The following is a 20,056-nucleotide window of genomic DNA, read 5'->3' on the forward strand; positions in this document are numbered from 1 at the left end:
AGGGAAAGGGAAAGGGAGAAAAAAATTATGCTTGCATTTCAAAATTGTTTGCACCAACATAAGCTTGTACTAACTTGGAGGAGGCACATTTTACATGGCTGGAGCAGGAGAAAGATGGCGAGGAGGAGGAAGTGTTACACATATTATAAACATCCAGATCTCATGAGTACTCACTCACTACAATGAGAACAGCAAGATGGAAATCCTCCCTCATGATACAATCACCTTCCACCAGGCCCCTCCTCCAACACTGGGGATAGCAATTCAACATGCGATTTGGGCAGGAACACAAGTCCAAACCAATCATTCTGCCCCTGGCCCCTCCAAAATCTCATGTCCTTCTCATGTTTTAAAACAGAATCCTTTCTTCTCAACAGTCCCCCAAGCCTTAACTCATTTCAGCATTCACTAAAAAATCCATAGTCCAAAGTCTCACCTTAGACAAGGCAAGTCCCTTCCACCTATGAGCCTGTAAAATCAAAAATAAGTTAGTTACTTCCAAGATACAATGGGGGTATAGGCATTGTTAAATACACCCACTCTAAGAGGGAGAAATCAGCCAAAACAAAGGGGCTAAAGACCCCATGCAAGTCCAAAATACAGCAGAGCAGTCATTAAATGTTAAAGCTCCAAAATAATCCTCTTTGACTCCATGTCTCACATCCAAGCCAAACTGAGGAAAGGGGTGGGCTCCTAAGGCCTTGAGCAGCTCCACCCCTGTGGCTCTGCATGGTACAGTCCCCACAGCTGCTTTCATGGGCTGGCGTTGAGTATCTACATCTTTTCCAGGCACATGTTGCAAGCTGTCGGTGGATTTATCATTCTGGGGTCTGGAAGATGATGGCTCTCTTCTCACAGCTCCACTATTCAGTGCCCCAGTGGAGACTGCATCAGGGCTCCAACCCCACCTTTCCCATCTGTCCTGCCCTAATAGAGGTTCTACATGAGGGCTCAGCTGCTGCAGCACATTTCTATTTGGACATCCAGACATTTCCATACATCCTCTGAAATCTAGGTGGAGCCTCAAAGGGTGCAAGCCCCCAGCCTTGGTGGCTTCCATGTGGTGATGGGCCTGCAGGTGCACAGAGAGCAAGCCTCAGCTCTTGCTCTCTGTGCATGCACAGGCCCATCACCACATGGAAGTCTCCAAGGCTGGGGGCTTGCACCCTCTGAAGCCATGGCCCAAGCTGTACCTTGGCCTCTTTTAGCCATGGCTGCTTGGAGCTGGAGTATCCATGATGCAGGACATTATGTCCTGAGGCTGTGCAGATCAGCAGGGCCCTGGACCTGGCCCACAAAACCATTCTTCCCTACTAAACCTTTGGACCTGTGATGAGAGGGGCTGCCTCAAAGGTCTCTGTAATGCCTTTGAAGCATTTTCCCCATTATGCTGGCTATCAACATTTGCTTCCTCTTTATTTACACAAATTTCTGCTGCTAGCTTGAATTCCTCCTCGAGAAAATGGGTTTTTCCTTTTTATGGGTTTTTCCATGGTAAAGCTGCAAATTTCCCAAAATTTTACACTCTCCTTCCCTTTTAAAGTTCCAGTTTCAGATCATCTCTTGGCTCATGCATAACAGAAGTAACCTTGGCTCCAGTTCCCAATAAGTTCCTCACCTCTATCGGAGACCTCCTCAGCCAGGACTTCATTGTCCATATCACTATTAACATTTTGGTCACAACAATTTAACAAGTCTCTAGGAAGTTCCAAACTTTCCCTCATCTTCCTGTCTTCTTCTGAGTCCTCCAAACTGTTCCAACCTCTGCTCGTTACCCAGTTCCAAAGTCGTTTCCACATTTTTAGGTATCTTTTTAGCAATACACCACTCCTGGTACCAATTTTCTGTAGTAGTCTGTTCTTGCACTGCTAGAAAGAAATATCTGAAACTGGGTAATTTATAAGAAGAGAGGTTTAATTGGCTCACAGTTCCACAAGCTGTACAGGAAGCATGGCTGAGGAGGCCTCAGGATACTTACAATCTTGGTGGAAGGCAAAGTGGAAGGAGGCACATCTTACCTGGCTGGAGCCCGAGGACGAGGGAGAAAAGTTGGAAGTGCTACTCACTTTATAAACAACCAAATCTCATGAGAACTCACTCAGTAACACGATAACAGCAAGGGGGAAATCTGCCACCATGAGCCAATCACCTCCTACCAGACGCGTCCTCCAACACTGGGAATTACAATTTGGCATGAGATTTGACTGGGGACACAAATCCAAGCCATATTAGGCATTCATCTTTAAGTCATAATTAGGCTCTTTCTGACTTCTGTTTGTTTCTCAATCTTAAAAAAATCTGTGAAGGGCATCCATTTTTCTTCAGTTAACAATGTAAAAAAAGACTACATTGATATGGTTAAATTCCTAAGACCCTCAAGTCTTTAGGGACGAACTAAATGTCTAGTATCATCACTTACAAAAGTGTCAAACTTAGTGGAGCTTGTGTTGATATATAAAGTTTATATTTTTATTTTCATCATTTAATTCCATGTTTCTGACAACTGTTTGAAGTTTCCTCATATATACATTTTTATTTTAGAAAAATAGTATTATACAGAGTATTTTCACCTGAGCTAATACCATAGACACTTGAATCCAGACATTTTGGCCCAAGTATTATTTTAAGCATTGCCAAAAAAAAAAAAAAAAAAAAAAAACCAGAGAGTCAGTCATCTGAGTGACAATATTACCCCCTTCTTTGAGTCAGTTCACTAAACTGTCCCCTAACTGTCATTTATGGAAGAAAGAGACACTTGTGCTCAAGTATTTGGCTAAGACTGGTCAGAGCTAAAAAAAATTCTTCTTGGCAATGATGTTTTATTTTAACAAATTTATTGAACATTTGACACTTAATTCAGCTCACAGCCAAGAGGATTGAATCAAAGAGAAGCTCCACTAGATCTTGCTAAATTGCAGTTTCCAAGAGACCACTTTCTTTACCAGCTGTCAGGCTTGATAAGCTGCCTGTTACAGCTGACATTGGATCCTCCCTAGCAGATTACATCACATTAAACAGTGATGGAGTCTGTGTTATTTAGTCCCTTGTTTTTCTTCCCAACATCCTCTCCCTTCACCTCGCTTCCTCTTCCCTACATGCTGAATTCCATATACCTTCTCCGGGTTCTCTCAGTGTCTTGGGATCTTTAATCTTAGAACATTTGTTACACTGCACTGTCCTTGTTGGGTTGCTATTTTGGCTTAGCTATTAGATTATGAGCTTTATGAGGGCAGGGCCTAGGTCTTGTGTCACTTTATCTCCTCAGCATTTAGAACTCTGATTAAATTATAGAAAAGCTCAATAAATGTGTGTAGAATAAGTGATGTCAATGATAGTAGCACCATCGATTGTCAAATTGAACCCTCTCAGTAGACAAGGCTTAAATAATTCAATATTCTGTACTAAAAATCCCCCGTCACAACAATAAATCCTGTTATTTTAAACTCTTCCAGGCTATGGTCAATGATTTCATTAGAGTTGGTTAAAATGGAAACCAAGTTTACATATTCAGTACCCATGTGGCCAGTAGGCTTTCTCAAATTTTACTCATCTATTTCATGTCAAAAGTAGTCACGTGAGAATGGACAAAACATATGAATATTTAGTACGACCAATAACTACCCCTGAAAAACAATTAATAATTATATTTTAATATAATATATGTTAATCCATGTTTTTTAACAAATATAAAGTTGGAAATATTCAACTCATTTGTGAAATGAAAATGTATAGGACTATATGGCAAACTTATATTATGCCAGGGATTACTTTTTGTTTTGTTTTTGTTTTAGTGTACAAAGAAGAATATGTCCATGTTTCTACACCCAGTGAGATTATCTTCTTTATAAATTGTGAATAATATTTTTTAAAAAAAGTCAAATTTGTGATTATTCTGTGGTTCTGATTAAATACTGAGATAATTCAGAGTAAAAACAAAAAAAATCAGTCTGTGTTTCTTTGAGCATATGAAAATTTACATAATGATAGGCCTTAGATCTCAGAAGTGATGGTGTCATGAACCTTGACTAAACTAACCTATTTATTTTAAAAAATCATCATGTGAAGAAAGTTTGGTTAAACGAGAGAACATATGCCAGATAGAAGGTATTAAATGTTTAATCTAACTTGATTTTTAAAAAGTCTCAGTATTATTTTAACACATTATTAGTTGGTACACATAAAGTTTAGTCCTATCTCTGCCACTGATTACTTATTTAAACTTGTCAGGTATCAAATTTTTTTGGAGCTCAATCTCCTTATGAGGAAAATTAAAGAGCTGACAAAATGAATCCCAAGATCCCTTCTACCTATACCATTTCACTATCTTCTTTTTTTTTCATACAATATTTAAACTTGATTGAATTGGATGGAGATCAACCAAATATTATTGATCTTAAGTTCCACTTGAGTGTCCTTTCCAGAATAAAAAGATAGCTCAATTACTCTTTCCACTGCAACTCAGAATCTAGTCTCTCTCTCTCTGTCTTTGTCTCTCTCTCTCTCTTTCTTTTTCTCTCTCTCTCTCATACAAAAAGACACTTAAGTGGGGAAAAAGAAGCCTCCACTCCATAGACAGCAGATAACAGGAATATCCACTAGGAAGACTCAAGTTTCGGTAAATCAGGGTGCTATGAACAGGCTAATACTATAGGAGAATGTGTTTTGTCATGAAATTGGGTCCCAGAAGACACAGACACCAGAGTCGAGAGAGAAAATAAATGAAAATTGTATCTAGATGTGGGGTTGGTGAAAAATGCAATGTCTGAATGAGACAATAAGTGATAAAATGGGTTTATATTTTAGGAGACACCTGAAGAAAATGAAGAAGAATTACATGAATCGAATTAACTATTTTAGGGTAGTCGCAAGAGCATGATTTGGGATAGAGGCAAATACAAGCAGGATGCTGTTTAATAGCCATATAATACTGACTAGTTGTTTAACCCTTTAAGCTACAGTTTTCTGATCTGTGGTTAAGAATAACTGGTCAGGAGAATTCAATTATATTTGGCACACAAACAGCACAGTGCCTATCATTTCTTAGATTATCACAAATTTCTGAAAGCAAATCTTATTATGATTTGCACTTAGAGCAGTCAGGCCAGCGCCTTATAGTTTCCTCACTTGTGAAAGGAGGATCTTGGGGGATATTATTTTTTGTGGAAATAAAATTTGATGATTTTCAATTCAGTGTGGCTCAATGCTTCTAGCAATAGTCTTTCTGTCAGATATCCCACCTGTTTCCATATCTTTTCTCAGTTTGGTCCTCATTCTAATACATATGTAAATGAGGTTGACTGCTTAGGAAACAGAGATGGATCATTCAATCATTCATTTACTCAGTAGGTATTTATAGGTATTTATGGAGTACCGAACATGTGCTAAGCACCCTGTTGTGTCTAAAGATTCAGTGTGATTAAACACAGACCTTTTTTTCCCCCTCATGGAGCTTAGAATCTAGAGGCTTTTTCTTTTTTTGGAATAAAGATCATCATACCATCACATATGTTAAAATGATTTTGTGTAAGTTCTGTAAAGGAAAGATACATAATGGTCGGAGAATCTACAGAGAGTTGGACATCATTTTTAGGAGGATGGGGAAGGATTTCTTGAGACTGAGGATGCGATGCTTAAACTTGATATCTGAAGACATTATGATTTTGCTAAGTGAAGACAAAAGTGAATTTTAGCAAGAGAGAGCTGCATGAGAAAAGGCACCATGTTGGGAAAGCACCATGGAATTATGCAGCATTGATCAGCAAGGAGATTATCTGAAATTTAGAGATGAACAGGTATTCAACAAAAAAGAAAGGGAGGAGACAAGAGAAGGAGGTAGGAATAAGAACCACTTTACCCTGCTTGAGAGCATTAGAAAGCTGTTGAAACATTTTATTTTTTATTTTTTGGTTACATGGATAAATTCTTCAAGGGTAATTTCTGAGATTCTGGTGAACCCGTCACCCAAGCAGTGTACACCTTACCCAATGCTTAGTTTTTTATCTCTCATCCCTAACACACCCTTCCCCCTGAGCCCCCAAAGTCCATTGTATTATTCTTACACCTTTGTGTCTTCATAGCTTAGCTCCCATTTATAAGTAAGAACATATGATATTTGGTTTTCCATTCGTGGGTTACTTCACTTAGAATAATGATCTGCAACTCCATACGGGTTGCTGCTAATGCCATTATTTTATTCCTTTTTATGGCTGAGTAGTATTCCATGGTGTATATATACCACATTTTCTTTAACTATTCATTGGTTTATGGGCATTTAGGCTTGTTCCATATTTTTTCAGTTGCAAGTTGTGCTTCTGTAAACATGCATGTGTGTCTTTTTCATATAATGACTTCCTTTCCTCTGGGTAGATATACAGTAGTGGGATTGCTGGATCAAATGATGATTCTACTTTTAGCTCTTCGAGGAATCTCTCCATACTGTTTTCCATAGTGGTTGTACTAGTTTACATTCCCACCAGCAGTGAAAGTGCTCCATTTTCATCACATCCATAGCAACATCTATTATTTTTTTGATTTTTTTATTATGGCCATTCTTGCAGGAGTAAGGTGGTATCTTATTGTGATTTTAATTTGCATTTGCCTGAACATTAGTGATGTTGAGCATTTATTTTTTCATATGTTTGTTGGCCATTTGCATATCTTCTTTTGAGGTTTGTCTATTCATGTCCTTAGCCCACTTTTTGATGGGATTATTTGGGTTTTTTTTTCTTGCTGATTTGTTTGAGTTCCTTGTAGATTCTGGATATTAGTCCGTTGTCAAATGCATAGATTGTGAATACTTTCTTCCACTCTGTCGGTTGTCTGTTTACTCCGCTGATTGTTTCTTTTGCTGTGCAGAAGCTTTTTTAAATTAATGAGTTCCCATATATTTATTTTTGTTTTTTGTTGCAGTTGGATTTGAGTTTTTGATCATGAATTCTTTGCTTGCGTCAATGTCTAGAAGAGTTCTTCCAATACTATCTTCTAGAGTCTTTATGGTTTCAAATCTTAGATATAAGTCTTTGGTCCATCTTGAGTTGATTTTTGTTTAAGAAAAAATATGAGGATCTAGTTTCATCCTTCTACATGATGCTTGAAAATTATCCCAGCACCATTTGGTGAATAGAGTAACAAGATGAATTCAGTTAAGTTTCAGGATACAAAATCAATGTACACAAATCAGTAGCACTGCTATACACCAACAACCACCAAGCTGAGAAAAAAAACAAGAACTCAATCCCTTTTATAATAGCTGCAAAGAAAAATACTTAGAAATATACCTAACCAAGGTGGTAAAAGATCTTTACAAGGAAAACTACAAAACAATACTGAAATAAATCATTAGCAACACAAACAAATGGAAACACATACCATGCTCATGGATGGGTAGAATCAATATTGCAAAAATGATCATACTGCAAAAAGCAATCTACATATTCAATGCAATTCCCATCAAAGTACCTTCATCATTCTTTACGGAACTAGAAAAAGCAATCCTAAAATTTATATGGAACCTAAAAAGAGGCAGCATAGCCAAAGCAAGACTAAGCAAAAATAACCAATCTGGAGGCATCACATAATCCCACTTGAAACTATGCTATAAGACTATAGTTACTGAAACAGCATGGTACTGATATAAAAATAGGCACGCAGACCAATGGAAAAGAATAGAGAACCCAGAAAAAGCCAAATATTTACAGCCAACTGATCACTGACAAAGCAAACAAAAACATAAAGTAGGGAAAGGACATCCTGTTGAAGCACTTTAATCAGGAGAGGAGGATTATATTATCAGGCTTCTGTGTGCAGAACAGAGTGAAGAGGTGCCTGAGTGGGTGAGAGCAGACCAGGCAGAGGCTATTCAATAGCAGATAAGTTAATGAATGAGAGGTGGGGGCAAAGCTGGAGGTGGAGGTGTAGGTGGTACCAATCACAGGGATAAAGACACTTCCAGAAGAGCCAATTTAAGTAAAGAGAGTTGGAGATTGACACCCCTTTGGAAGATCCAAGAAGAGCTATTAAATAGGCAACTGCATCTACAAGATTGAACCTCAGAAAAGAGAGTTGGAATGGCAATGGAAAGTTTGAGTCATTCTCATGTAGGTGGTAACTGAAGTGACATGTATGAATAATGATGAATAAAAGGAAGACCAGAGTAATAAAAGGAGAATGGCTGAGAGAGTCTTGAGGTCTTCTCACATTTAGAGGCAAGAAGAGAGAGGCAATGCTGACTAAGAGACAAAGAGTAAGGAAAGGTAAGACAGAAACCAAGAGAATCTTATGAACTTGTCTTTCCATGTCACATAACCATCTGATATAATTTATGATCATGATTGTCCTAATTAATACAAAACCAATTAAGATAGAAATAGCAGGCTTAGCCTAGAAAGTTTCTATATAAAGAAACAACTTATTGGTTGCATTAGCTTTGCATGTACTACCTTTTAGAAAACTTAACTAAATGTAATGAAGTCTATGTGATTCTTCTTACAAAACTGGAAATGTCGAAACTGAAGTCAAGGTGTCATTAGCAAAACTATTTAGTTTAGTAAATTGATTGGTTATTGTTATCTATATGCTTTCTTGAAGTATCATAAAATGTATTTCTTATGATGTTTCCATTATTTATCTATCCATTAGCATATTATATATAGTTACAGACCTATGTAAAATGTTTTAACTTGCATTTCATGAATAATTTAAATCTATAATCTTGAGGGAATTAATTGTACTAAGAAATGTATGTTCTACCCATGAATGACTAGCCTTAATAAAAGGAATCTTTTATTAGATACTTGAAGACTATGTAGATTTATATGTAGATTTATTTTCAAATCTACCCCTTCCCTCCAATCTGGCAGACATTAATACTTTTTGCTTGAATATACTTTTACTATAATGGTTGCAAAATTATAATTTTTTTGCTCCATTATTCCTTCTATATTTATTAATTGGCATTGTGTTCCAAGGAAGTAGGTTGTAATCCATTACTTTATTTTGGTGTGTGCTCATATTTTCCCAGATTTAGACAGACAGAGCCTCTTCATGCTGGCTTTTATAACCTTTTACCTTGCCTTCAGACACACACACACACACACATACACACACACACACGTTTTAGTATACTTTATTGCTTTCTGGCACAGGTGCTTTCCCTAACCTAGTCATAAAATTAGCCATTTCTTTAAAAATTTCTAGCTTATTTTAATGAGGAATGGAAACTAGAAACCAAAATATAGGGGGCAGATATGCTCATTACAGTAAATATCTTTTAAATAAAATTTGAATGCCATTCTCTCTTCTCGTCTCTGGAAAATAAATCAACCAACCAAGAAATAGACAAACGGAAATGTTAATTCTTAAATTGAGCTGATATCAAATTATACAATTTAAGTAAAACTTATTGAGCCCTCCTTGCAAATATTATAGGATATTCATTATTATCATTTAGTAGATCAAAAAGTTTATAGGCTTATTATAAACTTATAATTATAAAAATTATACTTATTTTCAAAGTGTGGTTAAATGGGTAGATGCTGAAATAATTAGAAATTCAAGACTATGAAAATTGCATTCCCCTTCATCTTAACTGAATTTAAACAAGTCTATATATATTTAGATTTTTGTTACATGTTATAAAATATTATTTTTCTAAGATTATAAGTTTCAAGCCATGAACTAATTGAACCATTTAAAATTAATAGCTTAACAACTACCCTGCCCTTCCTGGACACTTCAGTCAGAGGCAGCTCTGCATTTCTCTGAGGCAGAAATCCCCACAACCCCTTTGACGTTGCAGTTGCTGTAGTACCACTCTAACCACCCTTGGGGACGGAATAAAGGATCTAGTTCCTACACTGACAGCTGCAACACACTGCAGTCCCCATATGGAAAGAAATCCAATCTCTCTTCCTTGTGGGCCTCCAGTCCTCACTCTTCACCAGGCAGGGCCCCGGCTCAGGATCACAGATCAGTCACCCCACCCATGGCTGAGCATACCCACTGTTAGTGCCTGAGTTTCCTGAGGTGGGTGGAGGCCTCCAAGAGGCAATTGACAGCCTCTCTTCCACTGTAACTGCAGTAGTTCTGCCCCTGCTGCCCTTGGTCTAGGGAAGAAACAAAGATCCCTAGGGCTTCACCTGTGCTTTGAGCATGGCACAGTCACCAGATGAAAAGGAGCCCAGTCTCTCCTCCCTGCAAGCCCTTGATCTCTTGCTCCTCAAGAAGCAGAGCTCCCAAATCAGGCCAGCAGCACAGTGATCCCACCTCTTGGAAGAAAATCCCCAGCAGTGGCCGCTCTGCATTTCTTTGAGGTAGAACTCCCAGTGGCAACCAAAATCCCCTCTGCCACTGCTGCTGCAGTGGTGCTACCCTTGCTGCTCTGAGACTGGGGAAGGAGCAAAGACCCTGAGTGCTTTAACCAGATCACCATCAAGCTGGAGTTGCCCTAAGGAGGAGAGGCCCGTCTGTCTCCTATGTGATCCACCCACCCCACTGCTTAACACCAGAGAGAGTCCCACTGCCGTCCACCAACTGAGGCTTGGGTCTAAATCACAGCCACCCCATTCCAAGGCTGATTGTACTGATGGATAGCAGCTCTGCATTTCTCTGCAGTGGAGCCCCAGGAGACAAGTCAAAGGCCCCTGCCACAAACACTGCTAAGGTACCTTCTCCTGCAGCCTCCAAGCTGAGTAGGAAACATAAAACTTGAGCTGGCCTCAGAGCTACAGTGTGCAGTGTGGGAGTGCCAAGCTGAAATCCATAGTCAGTACTCACATAGGAGAGGAGACCACACATTTAGAGCATTGAGAGGGAGCATGGCTGCAGTTGTGAGGAAATACAGAAAAGCCATGGAGCTGAGGAAGAGCCTACCTATGGCCACTACACTTAAGTGTCATTTACTGGATTACAGCCCAAACTCCAACACACAAAAAATAATTTGCTAATATAATCCCTTGTGAAACTAAGGACAAGAATTTTGCTAGAAATTAAGACTAGGCACAAACGCTTGGCCCTCTGAAAACATCCAGAAAAGAAGTCTACTGACTATTCACAAATTACACCACAGTTGAAGGAACACCAGCTCATATAGATGAGAAAGAAGCAATGCAAGAACTCTGGTAACTTAAAAAGCTATAGTATCTTCCTTCCTCCAAACAACTGTACTAGTTCCACAGCAACAGATCTTAGCCAGGCTGAAATGACTGAAATGACAGAAATATAATTCAGAATATTGATATGAATAAAGATCATTGAGGTTCAGGAGAAAGTCAAAACTCAATCCAAGGAATCTGAGAATTACAATAAAATGATAGAAGAGCTGACAGGTGAAATGACCATTTTACAAAAGAACCAAACGGATCTAATAGAGGTGAAAAAATACAGTAGAATAATTTTATCATACAATCACAAGTATTAAAAGCAAAATAGACCAATCTGAGGAAATCATCTCATAACTCAAAGACCAGTTCTCTAAGCTAACTCAGTCAGACAGAAGTAAAAGAAAGTAAAGTAAGACAAGTAAAAAAGAATGAGCAAAACCTCTGAGAAATATGGGATTTTATAAAGAGATCAAATTTATGATTTATTGCATTACTGAAAGAGATGAGGGAAATCAAGCAACTTGGAACACACATTTCAGGATATCATCTATGAAAACTTCCTCAATATTAGTAGAGAGGCAAAATTCAAATTCAGGAAATGCAGAGAAGCTCTGCAAAATACTGCACAAAAAAGTTCATCCCCAACTCAGATAATCATCAGATTCTCCAAGGTCAAAATGAAAGAAAAAATATTAAAGGCAGCTAGAGAGAGGTAAGTCACCTAAAAGGGGAACCATATCAAGCTAACAGCAGACCTTTCAGCAGAAACCCTATAGAGCAGAAGAGATTAGGTACATATATTTAGCATTCTTAAATAATTTCCATCCAATAATTTCATACCCAGGCAAACTAAGCTTGATAAGTGAGGAAGAAATAAAATCCTTTTCAGACAAGCAAACACTAAGGAAAATTGTTATCACCAGATCTGCTTTACAAGTTTCTGAGAGAAGCACTAAATATGGAAAAGAAAGACTAGTACCAGCCACTACAAAAACACACTTAAGTACATATGCTAATGACACAATAAAGCAACCACATAAACAAGACTGCATAATAACCAGCAAAGAACAAGATGACAGGGTCAAATCTGTACATATCAATACTACTTCTGAACATACATGAGCTAAATGCCCCAATTAAAAGGCACAGAGTGGCAAGCTAGATAAAGAAGCAAGACCTAATAACATGCTGTTTTCAAGAGACTCATCTCACATTCAATGACATTCATAGGCTCAAAAGAAAAGGATGGAGAAAAATCTAACTAGCAAATGGAAAACAGAAAAAAAGCAGGGATTTGTAACCTAATTTTAGACAAAACAGACTTTAAACCAACAAATATAAAAAAAGACAAAGATGGACATTATATAACATTAAAGGGTTCAATTCAACAAGAAGACCTAACTAACCTAAATATGTACATACCCAACACAGGAATACCCAGATTCATAAAGCAAGTTGTTAGATACCTATAAAAAGACTTAGATTCCCACACAATAATAGTGGGAGACCTCACTACTGACAGTTTTTAACAGATTATCAGGCACAAAATTAACAAAGATATTCAGAACCTGAACTCAACACTTGATCAAATGTACCTAATATACATCTTCAGAACTTTTCACCCCAAAACAACGAAACATACATTTTTCTGATAGCCACATGGCACACACACTAAAATTGACCACACACTCAGACATAAAACAATCCTCAGTAAATTAAAAAAGAAAACAGATCATACCAACCACATTCTGGGACCACAGTGCGATAAAAGTAGAAATCAAACTAGGAAAATTACTTAAAATCCTGCAATTATATGGCAGTTAAACAACTTGCTCCTGAATCACTTCTGGGTAAATAATGAAATTAAGGCAGAAACCTAGAACTTTTTTGAAACTAATGAGAACAAAGATACAACATACAGAATTTCTGGGACCAGCTAAGGTGCTGTTAAGAGGGAAATTTATAGCATTAAATACCCACATCAAAAATGTACTAAATATGGAAAGGAAAAGACCAATAAAAAAAGTTAGAACATTCTCAAATTAACAACCTAACATTACAACTAGAGGAACTAGAGCAACAAGAGCAAACCAATCCCAATGCTAGCAGAAGACAAGAAATAACCAAAATCAAAACTAAATTGAAGTATATTGAGACATGAAAAACTATACAAAAGATCAACAAATCCAGGAACTGGTTCTTTGAAAAATTAACAAGATAGATAGAACACAATCAGACTAATAATGAAAAAAGAGAGAAGATCCACAAAAATACCATCAGAAATGACAAAGTGGATGTTATCAATGACACCACAAAAATACAGAAAACCCTCAGAGATGACTATGAACACCCAAGGCACACAAACTAGAAAATGTAAAAGAAAAGAATAAATTCACTTTGGGAGGCCGAGGCGGGTGGATCACAAGGTCAGGACATCACAGCCATCCTGGCTAACACGGTGAAACCCCATCTCTACTAAAAATACAAAAAGAAATTAGCCAGGTGTGGTGGTGGGTGCCTGTAGTCCCAGCTACTCAAGAGGCTGAGGCAGTAGAATGGTGGGAACCCAGGAGATGGAGCTTGCAGTGAGCTGAGATCATACCACTGCACTCCAGCCTGGGTGACAGAGCAAGACTCCGTCTCAAAAAAAATAAAAATAAATAAATAAATTCCTGGACACATATCACCTCCCAAGACTGGAACAGGAAGAAATTGAATCCTTTAAGAGACCAATAATGAGTTTCATAATTGAATCAATAATAAAAAGCCTACCAACCAAAAAAAGCCCGGGACCAGACAGATTCACAGCCAAATTCTAGCAGATGTATAAAGAAGAGCTGGGCCTATTCCTACTGAAACTATTTCAAAATTTGAAAAGAGGGGACTGATGCCTAACTATGAGTCCAGCATCATCCTAATACCAAAACCTGTCAGAGACGAAAAAAAAAAAAAAAAGGAAAGAAGAAAAATAAAGAAAATTTAAGGCCAATATTCTTGAACATAGATGCAAAAATCCTCAACAAAACACTAGCAAACTGAATCCAGCAGCACATCAAAAACTAATCCACCACGATCAATTAGGCTTTCTCCTTGGGATACAAGGTTGGTTCAACATATGCAAATCAATAAATGTGATTCAGCTATAAACAGAATGAAAGACAAAATCCATGATTATCTCAATAGATGCAGAAAAAGCTTTTAATAAAACTCAATATCTCTTCATAATAAAAACCCTCAGTAAATTAGGCATTGAAGAAACATACGTTAAAATAATAAGAGCTATCTATGAGAAACCCACAGCCAACATTATACCAAATGAGCAAAAGCTGAAAACATTCTCCTTGAAAACTAGAACAAACCAAGAATGCCCTCTCTCACCACTCCTATTCAACATAGTATTGGAAGTCCTGGCCAGAGCAATTAAGTAGGAGAAAGAAATAAAAAGCATCCAAATAGGAAAAGAGGAAGCCAAGGTTTCCCTCTTTGCAGGTGACAATTATTCTGTATCTAGAAAACCCAAAGTCACTCCCAAAAGATCCTAGATTTGATAAACAACTTTGCCAAAGTTTCAGGATATAAAATAAATTTACAAAAATCAGTAACATTCCTATACACCAATACTATCTAAATTAAGAGCCAAATCAGGAACGCAATCCCTTTCAGAATTGCCACAAAAAGAATAAAATACCTAGGAATACAGCTAACCAGAGAAGAAAAAGATCTCTACAATGAGAATTTTATAAAGCAGTACTCAGAAATCAGAGATGACAAACAAATGAAAACCATTTTTTGCTCATGGATAGGAAGAATCAGTGGCCATACTGCCCAAAGCAATTGACAGATTCAATGCTATTCCTATGAAACTACCAATGACATTCTTCCCAGAATTTGAAAAAAAAAAAACTGTTTTAAAATTCATATTAAACCAAAAAAGATCCCAAATATTCAAGGCAATCCTAACCAAAAACAAAGCTGGAATGTTACCCAACTTCAAACTATACTACAAGGCTGCAATAGCCAAAACAGCATGTAACTGGTACAAAAACCATACACATAGACCAATGGAACAGAATAGAGAGCCCAGAAGTAATGCTGCATATTGAAAACCATTTGTTCTTTGACAAAATTAACAAAAACAAACAACGGGGAAAGGACTTTCTTTTCAATAAATCATGCCAGGATAACTGGCTAGCCATAGGCAGAAGATTGAAACTGGACCCTTTCCTTGCACAATATACAAAAATTAACTCAAGATGGATTAAATGCTTAAATGAAAAACCCAAAACTATAAAAACCATTGAAGACAACCATTCTGGACATAGGACCTGGCAAATATTTCATGATGAAAATGCTAGCAATAATTGCAACAAAAATAAAAATTGACAAATGGGATCTAATTAAAGTAAATGGCTTCTGCATAGCAAAAGAAACTATCAACAGACTAAATGAAAACCTACAGAATGGGAGAAATTATTTGCAAACTATGCATCCAACAAAGGTTTAATATCCAGAATCTATAAGGAACTTAAACAAATTAACAAGCATAAAATAACCCCTTTAAAAAGCATAAAATAACCCCTTTAAAAAGCAGAGAAAAGGTATGAGCAGACACTTTCCAAAAGAAGACATACATCGGCCAAGAAGCATATGAAAAGTTGATCAGCATCACTAATTATTAGAGAGGTGCAAATCAAAACTACACTGGTATACTATCTCACACCAGTCAGAATGGCTATTATGAAAAAGTCAAAAAATTACAGATGCTGGTGAGGTTGTATGGGAAAGGGAACACTTAAACACTGCATGCAGGAATGTAAATTAGTTCAGCCATTGTGGAAGATGGTGTGATGATTCCTCAAAGAATCTAAAACAGAATTACCATTCAACCCAGCAATTCCATTACCCAAATGAGTATCAATTCTTCTACCATAAAGATACATGAATGTGTATGTTCATTGCAGCACTGTTAACAATAGCAAAGATGTGGAATCAACCTAAATGCCCATCAACAGTAGATTGGATAAAGAAAATGTGGTATATATAAACCATGGAATTCTGCACAGCCAAAAAGGTATGAGATCATGTCTTTCGCATCAGAATGGATGGAGCTGGAGGCCATTATCCTAAGCAAAGTAATGCAAGAACAGAAAACCAAATACCACATGTTCTCACTTATGAGTGGGAGCTAAACAACCAGAACACATGTACACAAAGAAGGGAACAACAGACAGCAGGGCCTTGGAGAGTGTGGAGGGTGGGAGGAGGGAGAGGATCAGCAAAAATTCCTATTGGGTAATATGCTTATTGCCTAGGTGATGAAATAAGCTGTATACCAGACCCCCATGACACACAGTTTACCTATATAACAAACCTGCACAAGTAGCCCTGAACCTAAAATAAAAGTTTAAAAAATAAAATTAACAAGTAAAATTAAATTAATAGTTTGGCTATATGCATCTTTTTTAAATAAAATTAGACATTTAAGTTGTTTTAAATTGTGAAGTTATTTTTACTAAGGCCGTTAATATCAGATTTAAGCTAGTCCTTGCACTAAGATGAAAACATAGCTCAGGTCATGAGAGGTGAGTTAACGAATCCAAAATCTGGCTATGGTTACCCCACTAATCAAGTTTTTGTTGTTATTTACAGCTATTATCAGTACCTGATGTTATTTAATAATTTTGTCCATTCGTTCTAGGAGGCTTTTGTTTAGTCCTCAGCACCTGAATAGGACCTGACCTATATCAGCTACTAAATACATAATTGTTTAATAAATAAATATATCATACTTAGAAAAAAATGAAAGTACAAAGTAGATTGTGATTTACTGTTGAAAAGATATGTATTGGAACAGTAAACTGTAAAGTGTACTGTAGGGGACATGGGAAACCAAAGAGATTCAAGGGCTGGGATGAGGGTGTAGGGAGAAATGAATCAAGATATGAAGCGCAGGATAAATAGGTTGGAATCGATGTCAAGAAAGTAATGACTGAAGTTTATATTCTTAGCATGTTCTCAAGTTAAGTGTCCACATAAGTAGAAGAACAAATGTTTTCACTTTGGGGGTAGATGGCCTTTTATTTTAAGTAAGGAAAGGTTTAAACTATAATTAGAAATGTGGCAACATTAATGTGCAAGCATGAAACCACTAAGTAGTTAAGGGAATTCTAGATTGCAAGTGGAGGTAAAATTAAAAAAAAAACAAAAACAGGTTATAACATAATGGTGCTACTGTATCAGTATATTTTTTAATGCATGGTAATGAAATATAAAGAATAACACCTACATTTTTGGTGCTGTATATATTATTTCATTTAATCCTCACAATGACCCATCATAATGTTGGTATTGGTGTAGCATTTTATGGAGCTTAAATCATTTGTCTGTACATACATCTAGTCACCATAGATGAGCTTGAGACAGCCACAATTATGATTTCTCACTTTTATTAAACTTCTTCCTATTTCTAGAAGGCTAATATGTATGTTTCAATGATATGGGGAACATGCTGCTTCCTATAACTGAAAACACTCTTCCTTCCCCACCCTCCCCCTTTAAAAAAATTTGGTGTGATTTGAGGAATATGCAGAGTAATTAGAGGATCAATTTCTGGCAGAGATTACAAATCAGAAATCATGGCAGAAGTCCAGACAAGTCATCCTTAGAAAGGGGCAAAGAAGAAAGGAGGATCTGGGTACACAGCCAATATTCAGAGACCAGAAAGAGCACAGAGGAGAGAGATTTTAAAGAAAGCTATTCAAAGTAACAGCTCTAGCTTTTTATAGGTTGTCGTTGACCTATAAAAATGGAGCTGAAATAGAACAGAGCTAACAGAAGCCTAGCATGGACCAGACCAACAAGTTTAATCCACAGAAGGGAGCTGAGTCACCATATACTTGGTTCTCAGCATTTCTGCCTAGTGGGTAGGAAGAGGCTAAGAGGGGGTTAAAGCTCAGTCTATGTTGGGCTCTGGCTGAGACTGCCTGGGTGGAAGTAAAACTTAGAAACTCTGAGAGTTGGAAATGGGAGTTCCAAATTCTTTGAATGTGCATAAAGTTTTCTTCATTAATAAGACGAACAACATACAGCTAATTTTGGAAATATAGCTATTTTTTTCCATAAAAAATATCAATTTTCAGAGGTACTTTTGGGTGGAAAACTATAAACTCTTAATGTAAAGACATCTCTCTTTTCTTCCTTTCACTACTATTACTTAAATGCCATAAATGTCTTGATCACAATATTTATCATATTGCAATGCAATTATATATTTATATGTCTTTTTCTGTGGGATAGAAATGACCTTGCCTTATTCATTTTTTTAAAACTCCAGAGCTTAGAAGAGTGCCTGGTGCATAGAAAGCATTCAATGTGCTTTTGCTGAATCACTGAATTCTCTGCTTACGGATTGAAAGATGTGGCAATTGTGCAAGAGGAAAAGGTCACTTTAGAAATGATGTTGTTCAAAAGCTATGAGAATGAAGCCCAGAAACTGCCATTGTCATTCAGAACATTTGGCATCAAGAAAGCCTGATTATTTATGAGACAGGGAGTGCCAGAAATGGCTTTATATTGACAGAATTTAGGAAAAGATGCTTATGAATATTTTTGTGTTTGAGATCTGGTTCATTAGTGGTTGGAAAGCTCACTAGTCATTTTGTAATGCTAGTTGGAAAAGAATATTTCTACAGGTATTTTTTCCACAAGTACTTTGAAGATTATTGAGATTTTTTTCTAAGATTATGGAGAACAACATGCTTCCTTTGGAAATATGCAAACACTGGGGTGATATTACTGGAAGCTCTGCATAAACTTAAATAAATTTTCTTTTGTCACTCACTTAAAAAAGTAGCATAAAAGGTGATTTCATGGCGATGCATGGTGACTCACACCTGTAATCTCAGCTATTCAGGAGGCTGAGCCAGGAGCATCCCCTGTGCCCAGGTGCTGGGATCGTGCTACTGCATTCTGCCTGGGCAGCAGAACAAGACCATGTCTCAATAAATAAAAGAAGAATTTCCTGAGATTTTATGTCATGAGGCAGTCTGGTTATAGAAAGTTTTATTCACATATTCTCCAAATAACAGGATAGTATTTATTTCACAGAGCATTTTTTTCTGACATATTTAGAGTTTTATTTCTATCAGTGGGATACTATACAAAGTAGGTTATAATTAGGTACATGGGTTTTTGCTTACTTTTATTTGAACAAAATTCCTTTTCACCAAGACAATACAATCGTCAATTTAAATGAAACACTCTTTCTCCATAATGTCATGATGTTGAGGCATGCCTTGATCAAGCATTTATTCCCCAAATCTTTACTGAGGGCCTGCTCTCGGCCAAGCATTTCAGGAAGGGCTGGGGATGAGTGATGAACGGGCAGCCAAGTTCTCTACTCCTATGGTCCTCACTGCCTGGCGAGGAAGAAAAGATTCTACCAGACATTTGGTGATGATAAATAGAAAGTATAGGGTGCAATGGAGGTGTCACCTGAGGCCATAACTTTATCTGGGAGTCCTGGAAGGCCTGAGAAGACTTGCTTGTGAAAATATACTGAGGCTGAGACTCAAATAGAAGAGGCTTGGTCAAGATACTCCATTCCTCCCACAGGCTGTAAAGGTAATCTAGACTTTCAAATTGACAATGTCTTTCTGGACAATAACTACTATTTTTGTAACTTTAGGTATCTTTAAACTACATAAAGTTAATTTTTGGTAAGAGTTTCTAAAAGGATTTCTGTGGTTTTGAGGAGAAACAACACATCTTAGTCTTTAAAAAAATTAGGTAAAATTTATATTATGTAAAATATTTACTAATTGAGAAAACATTGGTTAATATTTGGATAATTTGTCTACTTTCCATCTATTTTGGCAGTACTATATGTTGAATAAATATTTGTTGCCCCCTACCCTCCAAATTTATATGTTAAATCCTGACTCCCAAGGTAATAGCGT

This window comes from Homo sapiens, chromosome 18, assembly GCF_000001405.40.
Source record: "Homo sapiens chromosome 18, GRCh38.p14 Primary Assembly".
NCBI classification, from domain to species: Eukaryota; Metazoa; Chordata; class Mammalia; order Primates; family Hominidae; genus Homo; species Homo sapiens.